Source organism: Homo sapiens, chromosome 4, assembly GCF_000001405.40.
Source record: "Homo sapiens chromosome 4, GRCh38.p14 Primary Assembly".
Lineage (NCBI taxonomy): Eukaryota > Metazoa > Chordata > Mammalia > Primates > Hominidae > Homo > Homo sapiens.
In genome coordinates, this window is record NC_000004.12 from 172667682 (window position 1) to 172692817 (window position 25136).

A 25136-nucleotide genomic window follows, 5' to 3' on the forward strand; every position below is an offset into this window, starting at 1 on the left:
GATTCACGTTAGATTAAATCAGCAGGGAGCAGGAATTTTGTGGGACATCTTTTGAATTCTGCCTTGTGCAGCTGCACTATGCAAATGATTAGGAAAAACTGCAAGTTCTTATTTTGAAGTAATTTTCCAAGTGCCTGCAGTACATCCTTACTCTCACTCCTGCTTATCACTGGGAGGATTTTATATGGAAAGCACTTCCCTAACTTTTTAGGAACTCCCTGTTTTGCCTGTGATGAACCACTCAGCATTTTCCCCCGCATTAAATTACAATGACTTCATTTGAAACAGAAATGCCTCAAATTTTGGGATCTACTTATGATAGCCTTCCCTCTTGACCAGGACTCAAAGTCTATTTTGCCCTAATGTGTCTTTGGTCAATAAAATGGAATTTGGAGAGTTTGAGAAGGTATATTTGTAATTTCAATCCCTGTCTAGAAAGCATGAAAAAAGATATTAGAAAAAAATGTGTTGCTCTTGAGTATTATTGCCATTGATGAGTTCCACAGTGCTAGTAGACTACATTAGGAATTTGAATGAAGCAGAATTGAATGAATTCTATTTTTAAAAAAATGAATTGTACATTACAGCTCACAAGTATCCAAGAGCTAAATTTGAAATGTCAAAGGTTATGTAAATCTTATATGTTTAGCTAACCCTGTAATGAGAAAGACTCCCAACACTGAAGTCTCAAATCGTTTTTGAGAACACTGAGGAGAGAAGCCACATAATTTGAGAGTGTCATAACCGGGAGTCCTAGAAAGAGGAAGATCAAACAGCCGATGTGAATTTAGGCCATGAAGAGGTTTAATTTAAAAGCTGAGAGCAAAATCACAGTCCTTTCATAATTATTATAAGGAGATATTGGGTACCCTCACTCTGGCAGACCTGTGGTGCCTAATGAAAAGAGAGCATTTCTCTCCTGCTTGGCTTATTTTATCCCTAATCAGCAGCGGTACTTCAAATTAGCTTCACAATCTATTGGCCTCTCTCAGCCATAAAAGCCTCTTTTCTCTTTTGATATTAGCATAGCTCCCCATTGAAAGTAACAGAAAAAGAGCTCCTACTTGAAGGTTATATCCTTCCTTGTGGATGGCCCACTTCAAAGGGTTCATCACATGGTCCAAAGAGAAGTAAAAATAAGATGAGGGGAGTGCAGCAGCTGTGTTTCTAAGACAAGAGGTTCTGAGCTGAAGAACACCACATCGATTAAGGTCAGGGCAGCTGGGAAGGTTGCAGTTCAGCCAAAAGAGGGCTGAAGTACTGAACTTGAAAACTCTAGAACCTGGGAAATGTAAGCATTAAACTCAGAGACATTTTATGGAAAAAAAAAAGTTTTATTTTATAGATTCAGTTCTGTAATATAGATATTGGAACATTAAAATGATCTGAGGTATTGACTTCAAAATCCATCATTTGGGGTGTTGGATTATCTGTTATTTACTTAACTCCATTAGCACCCAGCTATGGATAAATTGTGTGTAATAGTTGTGTTTTATGAGATCAAGATTTTAAAATAGTGACCACTGATTTGTGTCCTCTATATCATTTAACCTCTGTTGTCTCATAAATGTGGCTGAGGGCAATGAGCTTATTTAAGGCTAACCTGCATATTAATACTTTTATCCACTGAGATAGTACTCTCCCCCACTTAACTAAGACGTTTGAGAATTGCCAAAAATAATCTACCTCAAAATATATTCACATATGCATCGTCTAAGTCAAGGAACAGAGGGCTCACTAGAATGGATTGGCCCTCCAATGACCCCAACAGTAGATGTTGATGCTTAGGAAGGATAGATATAATAGTTGAAGAAAAAATTTGCCAGTTGAAACTTTTGTTTGATTTTGCCACTTTGTCAGTCATTGCTTTTTGTTATGGCCAAGTTAAGTTGTTACGGAATTAGAGAATTTTGGAATTTTTTTGTAAGTGTTCTTTTAATAAATGTCTACTCAAGCCATCTGCCCATTTTTATTTTTATTTTTTGTTTTTTAACTTTTATTTTAAGTTCATGGGTACATTGCAGGTTTATTATATAGGTAAACTTGTGCCATGGGGGGTTGATATACAGATTATTTCATCACTCAGGTATGAAGCCTAGAACCCATTAGTTATTTTTCCTTCTCGTTTTCCTCCTCCCACACTGTACCCTCCAATAAGACCCAGTGTTTGTTGTTCTCCTTTATGTGACCATGTGTTCTCATCATTTAGCTCCCTCTAATAAGTGAGAGCATGTGGTATTTGGTTTTCTGTTTCTGTATTAGTTTTCTTCTAAGGATAATGGCCTCCAGCTCTATCCATGTCCCTCCAAAAAACATGTTCTTCTTTTGTATTGCTGCGTAGCATTCCATGGTGTATATATACTACATTTTCTTTACGCAGTTTATCATTGATGGGCATTTAGGTTGATTCCATGCCTTTTCTACTGTGCATAGTGCTGAAATGAACATATGCGTTCATGTATCTTTGTAATAGACCATTTATATTCCAGTAATGGGATTGCTGGGTCAAATGCCATTTCTCATATTGGGTCTTTAAGGAATTGCCACACTGTCTTCTACAATAACTGAACTATTTAGACTGCCACCAACAGTATATAAGCATTTGCTTTTCTCTGCAGCCTCACCAGCATCTCTTTTTTTTTACTTTTTAATAGTAGCCTTTCTGTTTGGTGTGAGATGGTATCTAATTTTGGTTTTGTTTTGCATTTCTCTAATGATCAGTAATATTGAATTTTTTTCATATGCATGTTGGTTGCATGTACATCTTTTGAAAAGTGTCTGTTCATGTTCTTTGTCCACTCTTTTTATGGTGTTGTTTGTTTTTTTCCTGTAAATTTGTTTAAGTTCCTTATAGAAGCTGGATATTAGACATTTGTCAGATGCATAGTTTTGCAAAAATTTTCTGCCATTCCATAGGTTGTCTGTTCACTTTGCTGATAGTTTCTTTTGTTGTGCAAAAGCACTTTAGTTTAACTAGATCCCATTTGTCAATTTTTGCTTTTGTTGCAATTGCTTTTGGCATCTTCATTATAAAATTTTTGCCCATTTCTATGCCTAGAATGGTATTGCCTAAGTCATTTTCCAGGGTTTTTATAGTTTTGGGTTTTACTTTTAAGTTTTAATCCATCTTGAGTTAATTTTTGTATCTGGTGTAAGGAAGGGGTCTAGTTTCAATCTTCTATATATGGCTACCCAGTTATCCCAGCACCATTTATTGAATAGGGTATCCTTTCCTTATTGCTTGTTTTTGTCAGGTTTGTTGAAGATCATACAAATTTAGGTGTGTGGCCTCATTTCTGGGTTATCTATTCTGTTCCATTGGTCTATGTGTCTGTTTTTGTACCAATACCATGTGGTTTTGGTTACTGCAACCCTGTAGTATGGTTTGAAGTCAGGTAGCGTGATGCCTCCAGCTTTGTTCTTTTTGATTAGAATTGCCTTAGCTATTCAGGCTCTTTTTTGGTTCCATATGAATTTCAAAATAGTTTTTTCTAGTTCTGTGAAAAATGTCAGTGGTGATTTAATAGAAATAATATTGAATCTATAAATTGCTTTGGGCAGAATGGCCATTTTTATGATATTGATTCTTTCTATCCATGAGCATGGAATGTTTTTCCATTTGTTTGTGTTATCTCCGATTTCTTTGAGTACTGTTTGGTAGTTCTCCTTGTAGAGATGTTTCACCTCCCTAGTTAGCTGTATTCCTAGGTATTTTGTTTTGTGTGTGTGTTTGTGTGGCAACTGTGAATGGGATTGCATTCATGATTTGGCTCTTGGCTTGACCGTTTTTGGCATATAGGAATGCCAATAATTTTTGCATATTGATTTTGTATCCTGAGACTTTGCTGAAGTTGTTTATCAGCTTAAGGAGCTTTTTGGCTGAGACTACGGGGTTTTCTAGATACAAGATTATATCATCTGCAAACAGGGATAATTTGACTTCCTCTCTTCCTATTTGAATGCACTTATTTCTTTCTCCTGATTGCCCAGGCCAGGACTTCCAATACTATGTTGAGTAGGAGTGATGAGAGTGGGCATCCTCATCTTGTGCTGGTTTTCAAGGAGAATACTTCAGATTTTGCCCATTCAGTATAATGTTGGCTGTGGGTGTGCCATATATGGCTCTTATTGTTTTGAAATATGTTCCTTTAACACCTAGGGGTTTTTGTTTGTTTGGTTTTTTGTTTTCTTGTTTGTTTCTTTGCCTGTTTTTTGGTTTGTTTGTTTTAGACAGAGTCTCACTCTGTTGCCCAGGCTGGAGTGCAGTGGTGCAATCTCAGCTCACTGCAACCTCCGCATCCCAGGTTCAAGTAATTCTCATGCATCAGTCTCCTGAGTAGCTAGGAATAAAGACATGCACCACCAGGCCTGGCTGATTTTTGTCTTTTTAGTAGACATAGGGTTTCACCATGTTGGCCAGGCTGAGCTCAAACTCTCCACCTCAGGTGATCCACCCACCTTAGCCTCCCAAAGTGCTGGGATTACAGGAGTGAGCCAGCATGCCTGACCAATACCTAGTTTATTGACTTTTAAACATGAAGAGTGTTTAATTTTATCAAAAGAATTTCTCCTTCGATTGAGATAATCATGTGGTTTTTGTTTTAGTTCTGTTTATGTGATGAAACACATTTATTGATTTGCATGTGCTGAACCAACGTTGCATCCAGGAATAAAGCCTACTTAATCATGGTACCTACACTTTTTGATAGATAACCTGCTGGATTCAGTTTGCCAGTATTTTGTTGAGGATTTTTGCATTGATGTTCATCAAAAATATTGGCCTGAATTTTTCATTCTTTGTTGTTGTATCATGGCCAAGTTTTGCTATCAGCATGATGCTGGCCTCATAGAATGAGTTAAGAGGCGTTCCTCCTCCTCAATTTTTTGGAATGGTTTCAGTAGAAATGGTATCAGCTCTTCTTTGTACATCTGGTGGCATTCAGCTGTGAATCCGTCTGGTCCTGGGCTTTTTGTTTTTTTTTGCATTGGTAGGTTGTTTATTACTGACTCAATTTTAGAACTTATTATTGGTCTGTCCAGGGATTCAGTTTCTTCCTGGTTCAGCCTTGGGAGGGTGTATGTGTCCAGGTATTTATTCATTTCTTCTAGATTTTCTAGTTTGTGTGCGTAGAGGTGTTAATAATATTCTCTGATGGTTGTTTGTCTTTCTGTGGGGTCATTGGTAATATCCGCCTCATCATTTCTAATTGTGTTTATTTGAATCTTCTCTATTTTCTTCTTTATTATCTAGATAACAGTCTATTTTTTTATTAATTTTTTCAAAAAATGAGCTTCTGGATTAATTGATCTTTTGAATGGTTTTTTGTGCCCCAATTTCCTTCAGTTCAGCTCTGATTTTGGTTATTTCTTCTCTTGCATTGGGATTTGTTTGCTCTTGATTCTCTAGTTCTTTTAGTTGTGAAGTTATGTTGTTAACTATAGATCTGTCTAACTTTTTGATGTGGGTATTTAGTGCTTTAAATTCCCCTGTTAACACTGCCTTAGCTGTGTCCCAAAGATTCTGGTATGTTGCATCTTAGTTCTCATTTGTTTCAAAGTACTTCTTGTAGGTTATTCAATTTTCATGTAATGTGATGGTTTTGAGTGAATTTCTTAGTCTCGATTTCTAATTTGATTGTGCTGTGGTCCAAGAGATTGTTTGTTATGATTTCGGTTCTTTTGCATTTGCTGAGAATGTTTTACTTCTGATTATGTGATCGATTTTAGAGCATGTACCATGTGGCAATTAGAAGAATGTATATTCTGTTTTGGGGGGATGGAGAGTTCTGTAGATATCTATCATGTCCATTTGTTCCAGTGCTGAGTTCAGGTCCTAAACATATTTGTTAGCTTTCTGTCTTGATGATCTGTCCAATATTGTCAGTGGGTTGTTAAAGTCTCCCACTATTATTGTGTGGGAGTCTAAGTCTTTTTGAAGGTCTCTGAGAACTTGCTTTATAACTCTGGGTGCTCCTCTATTGGATGCATATATATTTATGATAGTTAGATCTTCTTGTTGAATTGAACCCTTTATTGTTATGTAATGTCCTTCTTTGTCTTCTTTGACTGTTTTGGTTTAAAGTCTGTTTTGTCAGAAACTATTATTGAAACCCATGTTTTTTCTGTTTTCCATTTGCTTGTTGGATTTTTCTCCCTCCCTTTATTTTGAGCTTATGTGTGTCATTACATGTGAGGTGGGTCTCTTGAAGACAGCATACCAATGGGTCTTGGTTCTTTAGCTTGCCACTCAATGTCTTTTAATTGGGGGCATTTAGCCCATTTACATTCAAGGTTAGTATTGATATGTGTGGATTTGATCCTGTCATCATGATAGCTGGTTATTTTGCAGTCTTGTTTATGTGGTTGCTTTATAGTATCACTGGTCTGAGTACTTCAGTGTGTTTTTGTAGTGGCTGCTAACAGTCTTTTCTTCCCATATTTAGTGCTTCCTTCAGTAGCTCCTGTAAGGTAGGTCCCGTGGTGACAATTTCCCTCATCATTTGCTTGTGTAAAAAGGATCTATTTCTCCTTTGCTTATGAAGCTTAGTTTGACCAGACATGAAATTCTGGGTTGGAATTTCTTTTTCTTAAGAATGTAAAATATTGGCCCTCCATCTCTTCTGTATTGTAGGATTTCAGCTGAGAGTTCCACCATTAAACTCATGAGCTTTCCTTTGTAGGTGACCTGACTTTTCTCTCTAGCTTCCTTTATCACTTTTTCTTTCATTTTGACCATGGAAAATCTGATGATTATGTGTCTTGAGGGTGATTTTCTTTTGACATATCTTACTGGGGTTCTCTGCATTTCTTGAATTTGAATATTGGCCTGTCTTGCTAGGTTGAGGAACTTACCATGAATGCTATTCTAAAATATGTTTTCCAAGTTGGTTCCATTCTCCCCATCCTTTTCAGGGACACCAACAAGCCATAGATTTGATCTCTTTCCATAATCCTATGTTTCTTGGAGGTTTTGTTCATTCCTTTTCCTTTTTTCCTCTCTCTGTTCTAGTCTGACTGACTTTCTTATTTCAGACAGCCAGTCTTGAAGCTCTGAAATTCTTTCCTCTGCTTAGTCTATTCTGCTATTAACACTCCTGATTGAATTATAAAATTGATGTAGTATGTTTTTCAGCTCTATCATGTCAGTTTGCCTGCTTTTCTGTACTGTCTATCTTGTCTGTCATCTCCTGCATTGTTTTATCATGACTTTTAACTTCCTTGCACTGGGTTTCAACATACTCCTATAGCTTAATGATCTTCATTCCTATCTATATTCTGAATTCTATTTCTATCATTTCAGCCATCTCAGCCAATTCAAAACCCTTGCTGGAGACATGATGCAGTCATTTGGAGGAAAAGCAGAACTCTGGCTTTTGAGTTTTCAGCATTCTTGCACTGATTCCTTATCATCTGTGTGGGCTTATCTACCTTCAATCTTTGAAGTTGCTGATCTTTAGTTTTTTTTTTCTTTTGTCCTATGATGATGATCTTGAGGGTTTGATTGTAGTATAAGATGAATTCAGCCAACTGGCTTCATTTCTGGGAGATTTGGGGAGACCAGTTCTCAGGTCCCAACTCCTAGACTGCATGCTCTAACTCTGGGGAACTTGTATTGGGCCCCAACTTTGTTCACTGGCTCCCCAAGGTTTGGAATCCACTGCGCTGTGAAGGCCAAGGTGCAGCAACTGCAGCAGCATGCTAGTGGATGCTGGGGTACCTGCCTCCCTGTGGCAGCTCACCACAGTGGCAGAGGCAATGCAGCTGCTGGGGGCAGGGGACTCCTGTTGGGGAATGTGTGCATGGTGGCACTGGAGGTGGTGTTGGCTCAGGGGCAGGGTACTGGCTGGCACAGGTCTGGGTGCCTTCTCCATGCCCCACAAGCAAGAATGATTGCCCTGGAGGAATTTAATAGACCATGCAATTAAAACCTCATCATTTCACAAACTGAAAAATAAAAATCAGAACTAAATTCCAAGGAGATTAAATGCATGGCCCAAAGTCACATGGCTAAAAAATGGCAAAGGCCCCAATTACTATATTTTTATTCAACAAATACTTACTGGCTTTTCACTATATACAAGACACCGGGCTCAGTATTCAACAGAGAAAAATGTGAATAAGGAATCACTATGCCCTAAAGAAAGCTTTCTCCAACTTTTTCATGTCTCAGTATTTGGTGTTTTGTATCATTTCTGAATCCTTGAGGCATGTACATCTAGAAAATAGACTGAGCATCCTCAAATCCTCAAATTGGATTCCTTAATAAGAGTTAAAGTTTAAAATCTAAAGTTAGCAAAAAGAAAGAGAAAAAATGTGGAAGAATTTTAGATGTTGCCTGAAGTCATGGTTTTAAATAAAAAAGTATATATGATAGTATGTGACCCAGAACAAAAAAGTATAATTTGCTTAACCCAAGAGGCTCATTTTTGGCTAAAAATATGTCATGGTCTGATGCTTTTAAATTAAACTTTTATTACTTAGCCATGTAAAGTATTTGATTTTTGAAAAGACTTTATAATCAAGTAATTAACAAAGGAATACAAGGACATTTATAAAATGTGAAGTGAAGAAAGACTACAAGGGACACGGTCAACTTTAATTTCTTTCCAATTGGAAGACTTTTCTTTAAGTCTTGTAAATTACATGCTTCTCTCTTTGACTTCTCTCTGGTACTTCCAGGAGAAAAATTCGTGAAGCAACACAAAATGGTCATGGCAATAAATATTTCTTGTTCTAAGGATGTGAAAATAGACGTCTATTCTACTGCACTCTCTCATTTACAGAGCCAGATTGGGTGCTACTCTCATGGGTTTGCATTGCTATCTCCCAGGTAATTCAGTCCTCCTGTATTTTGGGCTTGGGTGCATTGAGCAAGCAATTTCCTATTGGTTCCGCTTTCTTATACAAAACACAAAGCATGCCCTTAAAAGTAGGGGTTAGACATATATTACTCCAACAGGCACTATTCTCCACATGACTCATAAAACTGATGGGCATTCCTCAGACTCAAACAGACAGGTTGCGGTGGCTGCCTACTTCATTTCACACATCTCATTTTTATAACTTCAGTCACTTTCCGATTTCTCCTGAGTGATTTCTATTTGAGCAACTGCTTAAGTTCAGTCATAAAGATCTGCTAGCTTCAGAAATAGGCTCTCAAATGTGACCTTCATTTAAATGTGTAAGGCAATTTCAGGGCTCTCTAACATTTCTGAGTTTAAGGTACTATTGACAATGCCAAATACAATGTTCTTGCTTTTTATAGCCAGTAGTATTCTTCTTCTTCTACTTCAGAGTTCAACTAAAGACCTGAAATGCTAGATAGAATCTGTGCAAGCTTTGGTTAGGCTCACAGGATCAACTTACTACTGTCCTTGTGTTAAACACCCGGTCTAGCTAATCAGGTGTCCTACTACTGAAAATGCTATAACCACCTAATATTTATCAGAAATAACTAAAAAAAAATAAACCTCCAAGTTTACTGCTCTAAGAAACTGATCTATCAAGAAAATGTGCTGTATTCATGTTTAACAATTTATTCAATATGTGTTCATGATTCTACATGTTAACAATTATTTTGGGTTAAGTGTACAATATTTTAATAAGTGGAAATGTGTGATTGTGTTGACCTCTGACCCAATTCGGCACTGCTTGATTTGTAATAGCACTTACTACTCTCCCTGCTACTTCTCTCGAAGCTGTCTCCACCTTGGAGAAAGATAAAAGGGGAGAGGGGGAGAAATGCCTTTAGCAATTCAATTCAACAGCTATTCAGTGTGCTTCCACCATGTTCCAAATATGGAGTTTAATGATAGAATGCAGCAAACAGCAGACGATGGTTCTAGTCTTAAGGAGTTTGTGGTCCAGGAATGGTCACAGTCATGCACATAAACAATTGGTCCAGGAAGAGTAGAATAAAGGGTAAAATAGAGGTAGATCTAAAGAATTGTGGATACACTGGCCAGCCACGGTGGCCAACACCTGTAATCCCAGCACTTTGGGAGGCCGAGGCAGGAGCATCCTTTGAGTCCAGGAGTTGGAGATCAGCCTAGATAGCAGAGTGAGACCCCCATCTCTACAAAAAATTAAAAAAAAAAGAATTGTTGAAAAACAGAAGAAGGAGGAAACAATTCTCACCAGCAGTGCAGGGAGATTTTCTCAAACAGAGGAAATTAATAGGGTTTTGAAGGCAAAAAAAAAAAATTCCGAAGCAGAGAATGAAAATTCTCACTGATGTAATAGCTGGAGCAAATGTGTTGAGAAGGAAAAGTTCAAATTGCATTTAAGGAGCTTCTATACAAAAGCGTTGGTGGAAAAGAGTCATGCATGGTCAGTTGCAGCTTTATGTTATGTTTTGTCTCTAATTCATGTGCGTGTCTTTGTTTAGTGCAACCAAGCCCCCACATAGACATTTTTAATCTCATAATGCCAGGTCCTCAGGCAGGCTTTCCTAAAATGGCCTGTTTTCAACTGAGGCCTACAGGGCGATTTGGCACTGGCTGTGACTGGACTGTTTTCCAGGGTAGTCCACCCTCTAGGGTTAGAAGATCTCAAATAGCCTAAGCTGTGTGAAGGCAGAGGAACATTTCTTTTCTGAGAAAAATAAATTCTCTTTTGCCCAGTTTTTAGTCTTTTCTTTTAAAGAATCTCCGTTCTTTACTAATTACTATTTTTTTTTTTTGAGACAGAGTTTCACTCTTGTTGTACAGGCTGGAGTGCAATGGCACGATCTCGGCTCACCGCAACCTCTGCCTCCCTGGTTCAAGCAATTCTCTTGCCTCAGCCTCCCAGGTAGCTGGGATTACAGGCATGCGCCACCATGCCCAGCTAATTTTGTATTTTTAGTAGAGACAGGGTTTCTCCATGTTGGTCAAGCTGGTCTCGAGCTCCCAACCTCAGGTGATCCACCTGCCTCAGCCTAGTAATTACTATTTTTATTTTACCATCTTCTTTTCCATACATTGAAAGCAGCCATTAGCATAAATAATTGTGCTAAACTTTTCTTGAGCTGCTTCAGTTTCTTTGTGGACATAGAAAAAGCTCTCCTCTCTCCCCATCTCTTAATCCATGATGTCACTTCTCAGCTTACATATCAACTGAGTTAATTTCTGAGGAGTGTCTAGCTCTAGCGATGTTGAAAATATATTCTCCCACCAATGTTGAAAATATATTCTCCCACCCGTGATTTCATGGTCTAAAGTAGAGGTTTCTCAGTAAAAGGTCAGATAGTATACATTGTAGCCTTTTTGGAGAAAACATACTCTGGTACAACTACTCAATTTGTCCATAGCAACGTGAACACAGCCATGAACAATATAAAATGAATGGGCATGGCTGTGTTCCAATTAAACTCCAGCTATGGACACTGAAATTTGAATTCCATTGAATTTTCTCATGTCATAAAATGTTATTTATGTTTTTAAAAATCATTTAAAAAATGTAAAGGCTGGCTGGGCACAGTGGCTCACACCTGTAATCCCAGCAGTTCGGGAGGCCAAGGTGGGCAGATCGCCTGAGGCCAGGAGTTCAAAACCAGCCTGGCCAACATGGTGAAACCCCATCTCTACTAAAAATACAAAATTGGCCTGGTGTGGTGGCAGGCGCCTGTAATCGCAGCCACTCGGGAGGCTGATGCAGGAGACTCACTTGAACCCTGGAGGCGGAGGTTGTAGTGAGCTGAGATTGCCCCATTGCACTCCAGCCTGGGCAATAAGAGAGAAACTCCATCTCAAAAAAAAAAAAAAAGTAAAAGCCATGCTAAATTTGTGGGTCATAGGGACAGGACTTGTTTGCCAGGCTACAGCTTGCCAATTTCTGGTCTAAAACATTGACAGAGTGGGCCTATTGCTTCTGAAGTTGCTTGCTTCTACAGTGTTATATTTTTCTCTATACACTATCTCTGCAAATGATATTGTTCTCTGTCTTAGATGCTGACTTGTTTGCTGCTGTTAATCACTCCACCTCTATTACTCAACCTGTTATTATTATCATCTTTATTATCTATTGTGCATAGTTCATATACATTGCTTATTTAATCTTGACAGCTGTCCAAATGGTATAACTAAGTAAAACAACACAGAGTGTTAAAGAATTTGCCCAAGATTATACAATTCTTAAGTGGCAGTTACAAAATTTAAACCTATTTCAGCATTGTACCAGTTCTCTTGAAAACACATATTGTCTCCGTGTCTTCTCCCAATAATTATATTCTTTTCCAAGGTTTCCCTTCATATATAGCTACCTATGATTACTTTTTTTTTTCATTTTCAATGCTTACCACCATCTTTGCAGCTGGATTCTAGTAATTCTTACCTAATTCTATTGTCACTTTGTAACTGAGTATTGGCTTTCTAATAATCACATATGAGATGAAAGAATTAAGCACTTTAAATTTATTAATTTAAATCTTAAAATGGACACTAATAAAAGTGAATTAGTAACAATAATAGTGGCAAATATTTTTGAGCCAGAATCAGGACTGAGTTTTTCCATGTTTTAAGCTTCAATATTTCTATGAAATGAATAGTGTTATTATTTACATTGTGTAGTTTTTTTAAAAAACTAGGTCATAGGGAAGCTGCCAGTCTACCTAAGGTTGCAGAGCTAATAAGAAGTGGCAGAGCTAGAATTTGAACTCAGGCAATCTCACTCAAAAGCATATAGTTTAACTATTGAACTAAGAAGGAATAATAATAATGGAAAAAAGGAAGGAAGGAATGAAGGGCCGAAGGAAGGAAAGAAGGCATACAGGAAGGAAGGAGGGGGGAAAGAATCTGAAAGCTGTGATGAAGGGGAAAATTCATTGGAAATTAAGAGATCTAAATTATAGATGAGACTCTGTTTTTGAGCAGCTGTATGAATTTAGGCAAGTCACTTCAGCTTCTTTCATCCCCTCCTTTTTTGCCATTTGTCATCTGTAAACTGAAGCCTTGTAGCTAGGTGATCATGATATCCTCTAGTTCTATGATCCTATTTTAAAAAAGCCGTCTTCTTTTCTTCTCCCCCTTCCTGACAGAAGAGCACTTCTGAGACCTCAAACTTTATTATATAAGCCCTCTTTGATTATTTAAAATCTGTACCCTTTAAGTGAAATCAAAGACTGTCAAAACAGATATTTTATGTCTAGCATGGATTGAAGTGCATGATTCCCTGCAGAATGCAAGGGTTACAAAACAGTAATCAGTTGAGACAAGGATTCTTTGAGATGAGTAAGCATATTACACAGCAGAATTATAATCAGCAGTGGCTAGGCTCTTTTACAACAGAGTCAAAAACAGAATGAAAGAGGCCCTGAGCATGCAGGCACAGAAAAGGATTCCATGTTACTGACAGGAACTTTAGCCTTGCTCCCACCTCAGCAGCATCTTCCTTCTGATTGAAGGGACCCTTAGGTGCCCTTGCCTCTGGTTCTGAATGGAGGCTTTCCCACTGCCAATACAGGTTATGAAGGGTAATGGCAGGTAATCAAGCAGAATCTATCAATTGTTAATGCCTGATAAATAATAAAACCTCCCCAGGTTTGTTCCTTTTTCTGCATGAAGAGTAAACAGCATCCCTGATGTTCTGGAATTCTTTGTAGTATTCTTACTCTTATTCTTTTCCTTTCTTTTGAAAATCACATTTTATTGATTTAATAGATTAAAAAAAACTCCCATGACGTACACTTCATATCACTTTATACAAGATGAATTAAAAACAGTGAAGAACATACAAAACCAATATCTTAAGTCCAATGACGTTTAGTGTGTATAATCTATATACTGAGATACACATATCAAAGATATATCTATGAGATAAGTTCTGAATAATGACTTATAATTAGAAATATTAAAATGAATATCTTATATTGGTATAATACTTTATAGCTCATAAATTACTTTCATGTGTTTCTTAGCAAAAAATTGTTTGTATTCTAATTAAATTGTAACTTAATATGATTCCTTTATAAAATTATATAAATTAGTTACATAATTATGATTCCTGCATCATAACAGAGAAGAGTGAAATTCAGAGCATGAAGTCATGGTTGTGAGGAAATATAACTATTATGTTTCAGGACAAGAACCTGAAGGTAAAGATTTGTATGACAGTCCCAGTGCTCTTTCCCTTCAGCCACAGCTGCCTCAGAGGAAGAATAACTCCAGAGCACCAGACCTTCTGAGTCCTCCTGTTCCTATCAAATTAACTACCCTCCATTTACCTCAGAGTAACTCTAGACCAGGCAATTCAGGGCCATAGGATAGGCCTTCCATCAGACTTCAAGTTATTTCCTAATTAGAACCTCCCCCTCTGTTTATGTCCTGAAGAGGAAAGGTAGGACAAATCATTTGATTTCACAAAATTAAAACTCTCAGAACAAACAAAATAAAGTTTGTGTGACCACGGGGAAATAAAAGACAGATACAGGGAGGAGACACAGTAATATGACAGAATTTGGTGCACAGAAATATAGAACACAAAACCAAATAGATAATGATCTGGACAGATAAAAACATGAACAGATAGTGCATAGAGTTCTGCCTAAAGATTTGTTCTTCGTTATTATTTAAGATAATTAAAAAAAAGAATTCTTCTTTTAGATCATTTTAACACAGTTTACAAAAATGGTAACATTTTATTGTGTCTTAATATGATGGAGTTGTATCTCATTAAATATTTTTAATGTGGCAAATCCTTAATAGAAAGTAGTATCATGTACAATAAGCCAATGGATTTTAATATATATAACATCAAGATAACACTATAAGAAAGAGTGAAATGAAGGATAAGTTCAAAAATAGTAATGTGTCTGTAATAAAGACTTTGTAAACAAATTTGGGATAGGTTTTTAGATAAAATGACAGGATACCCACTAGTATGTGAATTTCAGATAAAAAACAAATAGGTTTTAGTATAACTATGTCCCAAACATTGTGCTTAAATATTTGCCAATATTTGCTAAATTTGGCCATCCTAACTGAGCTGGTATCTCTAGGAAATGCCAGTAGAAGCTAGCTTTGCCAGCTCAATGAGTGAGCTGGGTAGTACTTTCTCCCCACTCAAAAAGGCTAATCCATCATTGAGAGATTTATGATTATGACATTTAAGACAATTTTAACCTGGTCAGTTCCAGGAAGTATTGCAAACAGATTTTTATTTGGCCTGAATGTGCTCCCCATGAGCTAAGGGGAAAAAAATTAGAAAAAAAAATCTGAGCCACTCTTGTGCACTAAATACTGTACAAAGAGGTTTACGTTTATTATATTGTCTCTGTTGATTATATTGTCTCAATCTTTATAACACAACTTTAGGAAAGGTATGCCTAAGCCATTCTACTGATGAGGAAAATGAGGTTCAAAGAGAACATTTATTCTTCAAAGTGCAAAACAGGGACACGAACCTGTTTCCTGCGTTCATTTCTCCCATCAGTTCATTTTCTGTAAGCAATTTGGGAGTTTGTTGAGACGTTTTGGCCAAAGTCAGAGACTAATCCACAGCAAAACACCCTCAGAGCCAAAGAAACCACAACTCTGAGTAACAGGCTGTGGTATCTGTCATGTCATCTAAAAGATACTGAAATTTCTTGGATCATTGTAGTCAGTGGTCATAGAACACAGAAGCAGGCAAAGCCTCAGATGGCCAAAGCTGGAGGAGATATCTATTCACTTCTATGCATGTGCTTCCCTTGATAATGAGAAATGGTTTATCATGTCATTTTAAGTCAACATTAAAATACTTTGGTCACTGGAAATATATGCATCCAATATAACTATTTTACTTTTTTAAACCAGTGTGCCACAGTGGTTACAATAATTCTTTCAAGTCTTTTAATTAAAAACTTTTTACCCTAACCCTTGAAAAAGGACTTGTATTTATTTTTGCCAGAAATCCATGAAAAAGTAATCTCATAGATTTACTAGAAATGATACAGATCTTATTATTTGTCAACTGGCCGTAACTACACCGTACATAACAACTTACAGCTAACGATATTGCAGTCAGAAATGTAAAGGAAGAATTGTCACAGTTATATTCCTGTAGAATCTAGTTAACTTCTAGCTAGGGACACATAAATTGAACAGAATGAAGCAGTTAGTGAGATACTATTCACAACTAAGCAGACGGAGTTATTTTTCCCAAAATAATATCAATTAACTGAGAGAATTATTCTTTATTTTAAAAACAAATAGGTGGAAGCTGGAAGCAGGGATTAGCTTTTTCGTGTTAGCAGTTTCAACTGCAGGCATTACATAGAGCCCATTCCTATGACTTAGAAAGGACCACACATTCTTAAAAATTACAGATTCACTCATCTTCCAGAAAAAAAGTCATGCAACCCAGCTCCAGCTTTGCGAATTATCTAACCATAGATGCATCTATAAAGGATAGATCGCTGTCCATTCCTTATTAAATTTACTAGAAATGCAGACACATCTATATCTCTCTAGTTATTAGCTATCTCAATGGCTTAACACCATAGTAAAGAAAATCAGAATCTTTAAAATTAAGAAGTTTGTATGTAGCAGATAACAGTTGCTCACCTTCTTATAAAAATCATTAGAGATGATGGCGTACACAGCTTTTTATTTCTAGATTCCAGACTTCCATCTACTTCATTCATTCATCCATTCATTCATTCATGCATACATCTAGTTATATGTTCATTTAGGCAATTAACATTTATTTGGCAACTACCCTATATGCAGGCCTAACTTTAGATGCTAGAGAATACAAGCAATTATAAACAAGTTTCTGGTCTCAAGAACCTTCAAATTTTGTCATATGGATTAAAAAAATGGTGTATGTAAAATATTAAGCAATAATACAATCAATTAGATGACACACAAAAAAGTATATGATTAAATGCTAAGTAAGTAAAACATACAAATAATGGGTCTATAAGAGAGAGAAATTCAGGTCATGGAAAAGGAAGAAGAAACTGGATGGGTAGTACCTAAATTGGGGAGAATGCTAAAGGCATTTTAGGAAGGTTAACAGATGGAGTCAAGACTGAACATGGAAAAGAGATGAACCTTTGGTGGCTCACTGGGAGTGGAATGGCCTAGAACTCCTTTAGCCATTGTAAGCTTCAGTCATTCTGAAGTACTTTTCATTCCACAAGCATATATTTCTTTTCTCTCTCCTATGCCTTTGCTCGTGCTGCCTTCTGCATCTGAAATGATTTCATTCCTCAAGCTCTCCATTTCTCAACCCTACCCATTTTTTCAATTTACCATTAACATGCCAATTACTCTATGCAACTTCTTGCTCACTCTAGCTGGAATGTAAGTCATTTATATTCAAAGAGTGAATTATCAAACTCATGACACTTTTTAGTATGATTGTTACCTTGTACATATTGTAAATACCTACAGCATTTAAGATATGGCCTTGCACATATTAAGCATTCTATTACTTGAGTTTTCAAAAATTTCAGATATGTAGAGGAAAATACTATGGCAAGTTAATATAAATAACCAGAAAAGGAGAGAAATGTAGAAGGGCAAAAGTAAAAATAAAAATTCACCGAGATTCATGTATGTATATTCTTATTTTTGAACCTGGATAATAAAATGCCACAGCAAGTCATTTAGTGAATCTTTTTCATTAGTTTAAAATTTGACTAATCCTTGACATTTCTTCATTCATTTTTCATGGGCTTTTCTACTCAATTATAGAAGACATAATTGCTAATATTATATAAACTGAGCCAATACAGCTCTCAGGAGAGATCTATAGAAAATGTATCCCCTTTTTAGCCTCTTTACTCATTTATCTGTTCACTACTGCTTATAGTGAGATCAATTACTGTAATATCCAAAGGCACATTAAAGAACCGAGCAAGAATTGATTACCAGTGTGACCAGAGGATAAAGATTCTCAGCTGTACTTTGCAAAATGGCTCACCTGAAGATGGAATGAGTATCTTCTTATTTGCTTTCTTCTATGTTCTTAAACTAATTCTTCTATAACCATCTCATCCACCCATCCTTCACCCACCACCACTGCTCCACATTTTAAAATACCAGGTCAGAGTAAATCCTCTTTTTGAGTCTTCAATTGAATAAAACATTAATCATTTCTATAACTCAGCCAGGCGACTTTAGAAAAAAAAATATCCCTATTGTTTTCATAGCACATTAGAATGAAGGAGCGGGGATGTCTACTTCTGGCATCATATTTTTCTCCATCCCTTTGTCTCAGTCAGTGAGAGGTGCAGGCAGTCAATAAGTAGTCCATTCCCTCTGAGACACCAGATGCTGTATGCCATCTGTCCAAGTTAGATATTAAACATAAGGATAACCTTGCTTAGGTTTCACCAAAGAGATTACTTGAGAGTAATCAAATTCAAAGTCTATGTTTAGGCACTGGATTAAATATTCAAAATAATTAGACCACTATATTTTTTTAAAAATAAGCCCTTGGAGAGTAAGTTTGGAGAGCAAATCTGTCCTCCTCATGCAGAAAGCTTAGGGGAATTCATCACGCCTTGTGCTCTCATGGTCCCACTGCCAGATCCACCAACCACCAGCCTCTGCAGCCACACCACCTGCCTTCTCCCCTGTAAAGATCCCTCTGGGATCCCATCCTCTATCATCTCTCCTTGCTCTATTGTGGTCCTGCAACATCAGCAGGACCTGAGCAGAGCCTCAGACCCCCACCCCCACTCCCGCCATGAACCTACTAAATCAACTAGGTCCCCAAGTGATTCATTCATACAGTAAAACATGAGAAGCCTGGCTCTGGTGTTCATGGAAGCTTTGTTATTCAATACTAACCTTTTTCTCCAAAGGAATCTACACACAAAGATGTGATTCTGGTAACTTAATTGTTAGCTATAAAGGTGAGAATGCAAGTTACTTATATGATTCTATTCATAAAACAGTATGTACAAGCAAATTTCCATGCAAGAAACTTGAGAAAACTAGAGGAAAACACTATAGAAAAAGAAAGTTTATTTTATTTTTAACTTATTAAAACCTTGTGTATCAAAGCATTGAGTGAATGAATTATACCTATTCCTAAATACAGGGCTAGGACACATTGCTTTGTGCTATTCTTTGAGTTTCTATGGCCCTCAAGGAATGTGTTTTTTCCTTCAAAGGATTCAATCATGTATGTGTTTTCAATGAACTTCAAATAATTGATATTTTGTTTTTAGGCCTCATCTATCCATGGTTGACATAATGTCCTTTTGTGTTTTACATGAAATTCAGTCTCACACACATAATACAATTGTAATAATATAAAAATTCCTTATAGGAGCATCACATAATCACATTACCGTCTAGTTCTTACAGCTCTGTGATGCAGGTAACATCACAATCCCCATTCTCCAGGGAAGGGGACGAGGCTCTGAGAAGTCTGATGACCAAACCAAGGTCACGAAGCCAGTAAGTAACTAAGAAACCCTATACATAAAGCCAGTTTTGTTGATTCCAACTCAATACATAAATGTAATTTTTTTCCTACCAAGTCAGATAGAATCTGGTAAAAGAGAAGCTTCTTTTACAGGATCTGTATTTCACAAATTTTTGCTTTTGGTCTATAATAATAACAATAATATTACTCAGCACTTGAAAATTTACACCTGAAATTTCCATCTGCAATATATTTGATAAAAATGTGCGGGAGTGGGTGCTTTCATTTTAAGTGGGTTGAGAATTAGCCCTGTTAATAATTTCTTGGCCCGGCACGGTGGCTCATACCTGTAATCCCAGCACTTTGGAAGGCTGAGGCGGGCGGATCACCAGGTCAGAAGTTCAAGACCAGCCTGACCAACACAGTGAAACCCCGTCTCTACTAAAAATGCAAACATTATCTGGGCACAGAGGCGTGTACCTGTAATCCCAGCTACTTGGGAGGCTGGGGAAGGAGAATCGCTTGAACCCGGGAGGCAGAGGTTGCAGTGAGCCAAGATCGCGCCACTGCACTCCAGCCTGAGCGACAAGGCAAGACTGTCTCAAAAAAAAAAAAAAAAAAAATTTCTTGAAGCTACTGAACCTTTCCTTTCATGATTTCTCCAATTTATGCATTTTAATACTAAGATAATGTTTGCAATGCATTTGGGGAAAAAGACTTTAGCGCTTGGCAGATTGCAGAGAATGTCAGTTACCATATTCTCCTTTGGGCTGGGGAAAAGCCCCTAAGGAAAACAATAAAGTATGGGACAGTCTCGGGATTATAAATATTCAGTTGCTGGCTTTTTCTTTAAAAGCAAAATGTATGAAATTTATAACCATAAGTAAGCTCTAGGTTTACTTAGAGAAACTCAATGTGTATGGCCTGTCTTAACTATTTTCCTTAAAGTCATTTTGGTATTTGATATTTAAAGTGAACGGCAAATGTGTTCCTAGGAATAGAATACATTTAAATACTATTTCCTAGATACCTTTTGTCCTTGTATTCACCTGGCTTTAAGAATTACTTACAAAATTACACAATTTGATTAAAAATTAATATGACTGCTGTAGTCCACCAAAGTGGAAAAAACTCATAAATAATGCACATGGCAAACTGTCTAAGGAATAACCACTAAGTTAAATTTATGGTAAATTATTAACAACCTAGGTAGCATATGTGATTGCTACTTTGCCCAAGTTTGGAATGTTTCTTTTATGAATTTGGAAGCAGTTTCCTTCACATAATCTGAGGTGAGAAACCAAAACCTATGGTAGCAAATTGGAGGTTGTAAATGTACCAATTTATGGTAGTAAATTGAGCAAGGTGATGTGCGTAGCAAGTGGTAGTGCTGACTGGAAAGATTGCTCAGGTTTTCTTCTTGAGAAGAGGAGGAAGTTGTCACCATTTGTGTTGCTTGGACCTCCACTTAAAGAGCTAAAAATTCACCTTCTGAACAACCCAAAAATCCCCCTTATTTCAATATTCCGCCCATAATGTTTATAGAGAGATGGCATATATTCCTTCACTAGACATATCATGCTAAATGAAAATGCACTTTTAGTAAGAAGGCTGTTTATTTCTTAGGTCTGTGCTCCAGCCTCTGGCACTCCTGCTCCACAACTCTGTGCAGGCCACTCTGTCAAACACTTCACTATGGAAATGGCTCTCCCCAGTGGATGATTGGTATACCATACTTGGATCTGTGTGGTGAACTTTCCCCTTATGGAGAGTACCCATGATTCTAGTGAGAATCCTAAGCTGCTCCCTTCTTAAAAGGCATTTCTTTTTATATTTAACTTATTTGTGCCTGTGTCTTGTTTACCTGCCAAAGACAGACATCCTTGTCTCTCTGTGCAAGTATCAGTGTGCACATCTCATTTTTTCCCAACTCCCTACTCAGTAACCCAAAGTCAGCCACAATGGGAGTATTTACACCACAGAAATTAGCTCACACTACCAATTAGAATATTTTGTTTTCCAGAGAGCCAATTGTTAAACATGTCCCAGTATGCTAGTGTTAGAAGTTATATATGCTTGTGTTAGAAGTTATATATCCCCACCCCTGACACCTAGAACTCTTCATTCTACTTACTCTTTACTAATCTGGAACCAGGATGAGATTATAGCTGAAGTAGTTTGGACTATTTATGTTCATTGGTAATAGAGTTATTATTAATATGAAAAAGGTAGACTGTACAATATAGTGAAAGTAGAATTGGATACGGAGTTAAAATACTTCGCTATTATTTAAATTTCTGTTTCCAAGCAAACTTGGACAAGCCATTTAACTTTCTCCACATCAATAAAATGGAAAGTATAAAGCTTAGCCCAACTACATCAGAGGATTATTATATGACTTAAAAGAAGTCTGACATCTATGAAAACATTTTGAAAAGTAAAATTTTAATATGAAAAACGTTTTGAAAATTTGAATATCAAATTGCATTCTTTTTTTGACACTTCAACATTTTCAAGAATTTCACATATCTTATCATGACTCTGATATGAAGACAGATATTATTATTGCAATTCACATACTGCCAGCAAGGGACAAGATCTTCTAAGTTCTTAATGCTTTTTCTGTGGGGTATGTGCCCAGTGGTAACAGCCACTCACTCAACTGCTGATGCTTCTTGCCCTGTCTCTGTATTCGTCAACATGTTAACCACGCCAAATATTTAACAGTGTCCTAGAAATAAAGAAAACTGTATGAAGCCATCCCAAGTAGAGCATATGTACCTTCAAGTTCATAACATTTTCTACATAGTGTTTTTAGTGTTAAAGAAAATTAGATGATAATGTAACCAGACAACATGTCTTTCAGCTAAAGCTCGTGATTTTTAAAAAAAAATCAAAACCAGGATATAAAGTATACAAATATTTTAAGGTATCCAAATTTGAGGAAAAAAATTACAAATTAACTTCAGAGGTATAAGGTATATCCATAAAGAATGTCATGAGAGCTCAGACTAAGAAGTAATGTGACAAAATATAGAAATTAAAATAACAGTGATTTTCTTGTCATGAAGGAAAGTTTAGAAAAATTGTAATAAAAATCACACTTAGCCAGGAAAAAATAACAAAAACACTCAATTCCATGGATTTAATTTATTTCATTTTTTCTGAGGAAGAATGTCAAATAGCTTGAAAATAAGCCCATAATGAAACTTTTTAAAAAGTAACTTCTTATTCTTTTGTCTTGGGGCACTACCAATTTAACCCCAAATTCTATACCTTCCAGAAAAAAAATTCTTATTCTGATATTTAAAAGACTGACTCTTTGTCTCAATTCATTTAACCAAGATTTTAGTACCTCTTATATTTATCACACTGGATCAGGCCCAGTGGGGAATATAAAAGTTAAGAAAGAAGCCATTTCTGTATCATGTCAATTTGTAATTGAGTGGTAGATTTTAATGTGCCTAATAAACATACAACAATAAAAAACAAATAAGGCAATATTCTTATGATGGCCATAAAGTGCTATGACAACTCAAAGAGTGAAATCACTTCCAGTTGCAAAAACAATGGAATTGACTCCTTTTCAGAAGAGGTCACCTGAGCACATCACATTATAGTGGATTACTCTCATGTACTTCCTTAGACGGAAAAGTGACCAAATGCACTTGAGATAACATTTCCCAATTAAAACAAGAGAAAATATTATTTGCATATCTCTCAACTAACCTGAAAATTTAACTAACCAAACCATAGCATTCCCCAAACCTTCTGGTTAACTTAATTCTACTGGAATATTCTTTAAGTACATAAGTGAATCATTGATGTTTATTATATTAATATGTTCTTGAGAAGGGCCTGGCACTATCCCTGGTGCATATCAGAACTCTAAGAGATTTCTGTAGAGGGAGTATTGTAGAAATACAATACTCTAAGAGAGATGAGATCAAAGGCACGCTCAGAAATTGGCTTGCAATACAAAACTAGTCAACATTAAAGACCAAACATTTTGTGCTGAATAAAGGGCTGAAAACATTCAGGAACTGGAAGATCAGTGAGCACTGGAGGAGGCAGGAAAGTTTCCATGGAGGAGGACAACATTATAGCTGAGCCTTGAAGGATGGCTGGGGAGGGTAGAGGATGGGTATTCCCAGGTCATCACCAACATGAACAATGCTACCAAGAGTAGAACACAAAGGAAATACTCATCAAACAGCAAGAAAACATGAATATCTGGACAGAGGGTTCATGGGGAGAACCATAGGAAAGAAGATTGATAAATAAGGTTGAGAAAACCATGGGAAACTGTCACAGAAATGGCATTTACTGTGGCAGAAAGCAGTACACCTAATGATATATTTGTCAGCATGGCCCTGATTAAGTATTGCACTGGGTCTTTGTTGAAAGCAGCAAGATCCATGTCCGTCTAAAGAAGGAGTTATTTTTAAATGTTACATGACTCAGACTCTTTAGGAGTACCATAAATAATGTTACCTTAATAGCACATGGCTCTTCTAGTGAAAACACTGCTGTCATTACTGCTCATGACTCAATACCTGTGATGCTGGGGCTGGATGTCTGGAGGGCCCACAGAGATGGTCAGGCAAGGCAGATGACTCTGCCCCTAGGCTTGACCAAGAACCCTGCCTCACTCCCCAAGGCCACCACTTCTTCCTCTACATCTCAGCAGGTGCATCTGATACAGAGACCTAGGTCACATACACTTACCATAGCTGCAAGGGAGTCTGGCAGTACTGTGATAGTCTCTCATACTCTATGATATAGAAACCAGAAAAAGACAGAATTATAGCAGAAGCTGAGCAAGACAATCTAAATTATTGTGTGCACCCAATTTGATAAAACTTTAAAAAATAAAAAGCTGTCAACCTTTACATAAAGCCTGAAATATGTGTAAATCATTAAAAATATAGATAAGGATATGGTGAATGTAAATCTTTCCTTCAAAATTGAGAGTTGTATTCAGACATGCCTATTTAATGCAAAAAGCGGGATTTTTTTTAGAAACAAAGGTAGCATATGTTTATTACCAATTACTTGGATTACTCAGAAATGTGCAGAAAAAAAGACCAAAAAAACCTTATTATTTAACTTTCAAATAATCACTCTTAACGCTTACTCTCTTTGATGTGCATCTGCTTGCATATTTTAACTCATATTCTATAATTTGATACTCTGCATTTTCACTTTCTAATATCAAGTATTTCACAATTGTGTGACATTTTGACTATTTGCAGATTTTTGCAATTATAACTATCTCTGCAATTAAATATATATTATTAAATGTCTTAATACATTCTAGATTTTTTTTAGATAGGTGAAATTATTGGGCCAATGCAGAAAATCTCTTTAAAGTCTCTTGATAAACATTAACAAATAACTTTCCATAAAGCTTATACCAAGTTGTACTCATATCAGAGATGTATTCATTTGAAAGCACCTTTTTGGACTCAGATACTTTTATTTTTGAATTATTTTTTAATATTATGTGTGAAAATTATATGTCATTGTTTAAATTTGAATTTCTTGTGTTATAAGTCAGTTCAAATTATTTTTTAAACACTTTAGCAGCAAGCATTTTTTTCTTTTATGAATTACCTTTGTTTGCACTCTTATTTTTTATGGGAAGTAGGAAACCTAAGAAACTCCCTCCCTTACTAATAAGTTGTATAAAAAGAAGCCAGAATATGAAACTTTTAGATAATGAGAAAATTGCAGTATTCTGAATACATCCTGTGGTGGAAGTTAGGATTGTCTATAACACAACCCTAAAATTT

General features: G+C 36.5%; 1 protein-coding gene and 1 long non-coding RNA gene across 9 annotated transcripts in view; one reads left to right on the plus strand and one right to left on the minus strand.

Annotated features, from left to right (window-relative positions):
• Positions 1-25136, plus strand: part of GALNTL6 (polypeptide N-acetylgalactosaminyltransferase like 6) — a 1228156-nt gene that overhangs the window by 854278 nt on the left and 348742 nt on the right. For 2 of the 7 annotated variants that reach the window (XM_011531994.2, XM_011531995.2), the window contains exon 1: positions 19302-19373. The exons of 4 other annotated variants lie outside the window; for them this stretch is intronic. The gene's annotated coding sequence lies outside the window, so the exon portion shown is untranslated. Of the gene's footprint in view, positions 1-19291; positions 19374-25136 lie in introns of those variants that run through there. One more of the 7 variants, XM_011531996.2, reaches the window with a different exon arrangement.
• The window catches only part of GALNTL6-AS1 (GALNTL6 antisense RNA 1), a 96947-nt gene that overhangs the window by 37750 nt on the left and 34061 nt on the right, over positions 1-25136 (minus strand). The window contains exon 1 of one of the 2 annotated variants that reach the window (NR_125895.1): positions 21206-21236. The exons of the other annotated variant lie outside the window; for it this stretch is intronic. This is a non-coding gene — a long non-coding RNA (GALNTL6 antisense RNA 1). Of the gene's footprint in view, positions 1-21205; positions 21237-25136 lie in introns of those variants that run through there. 2 annotated transcript variants of the gene reach the window in all.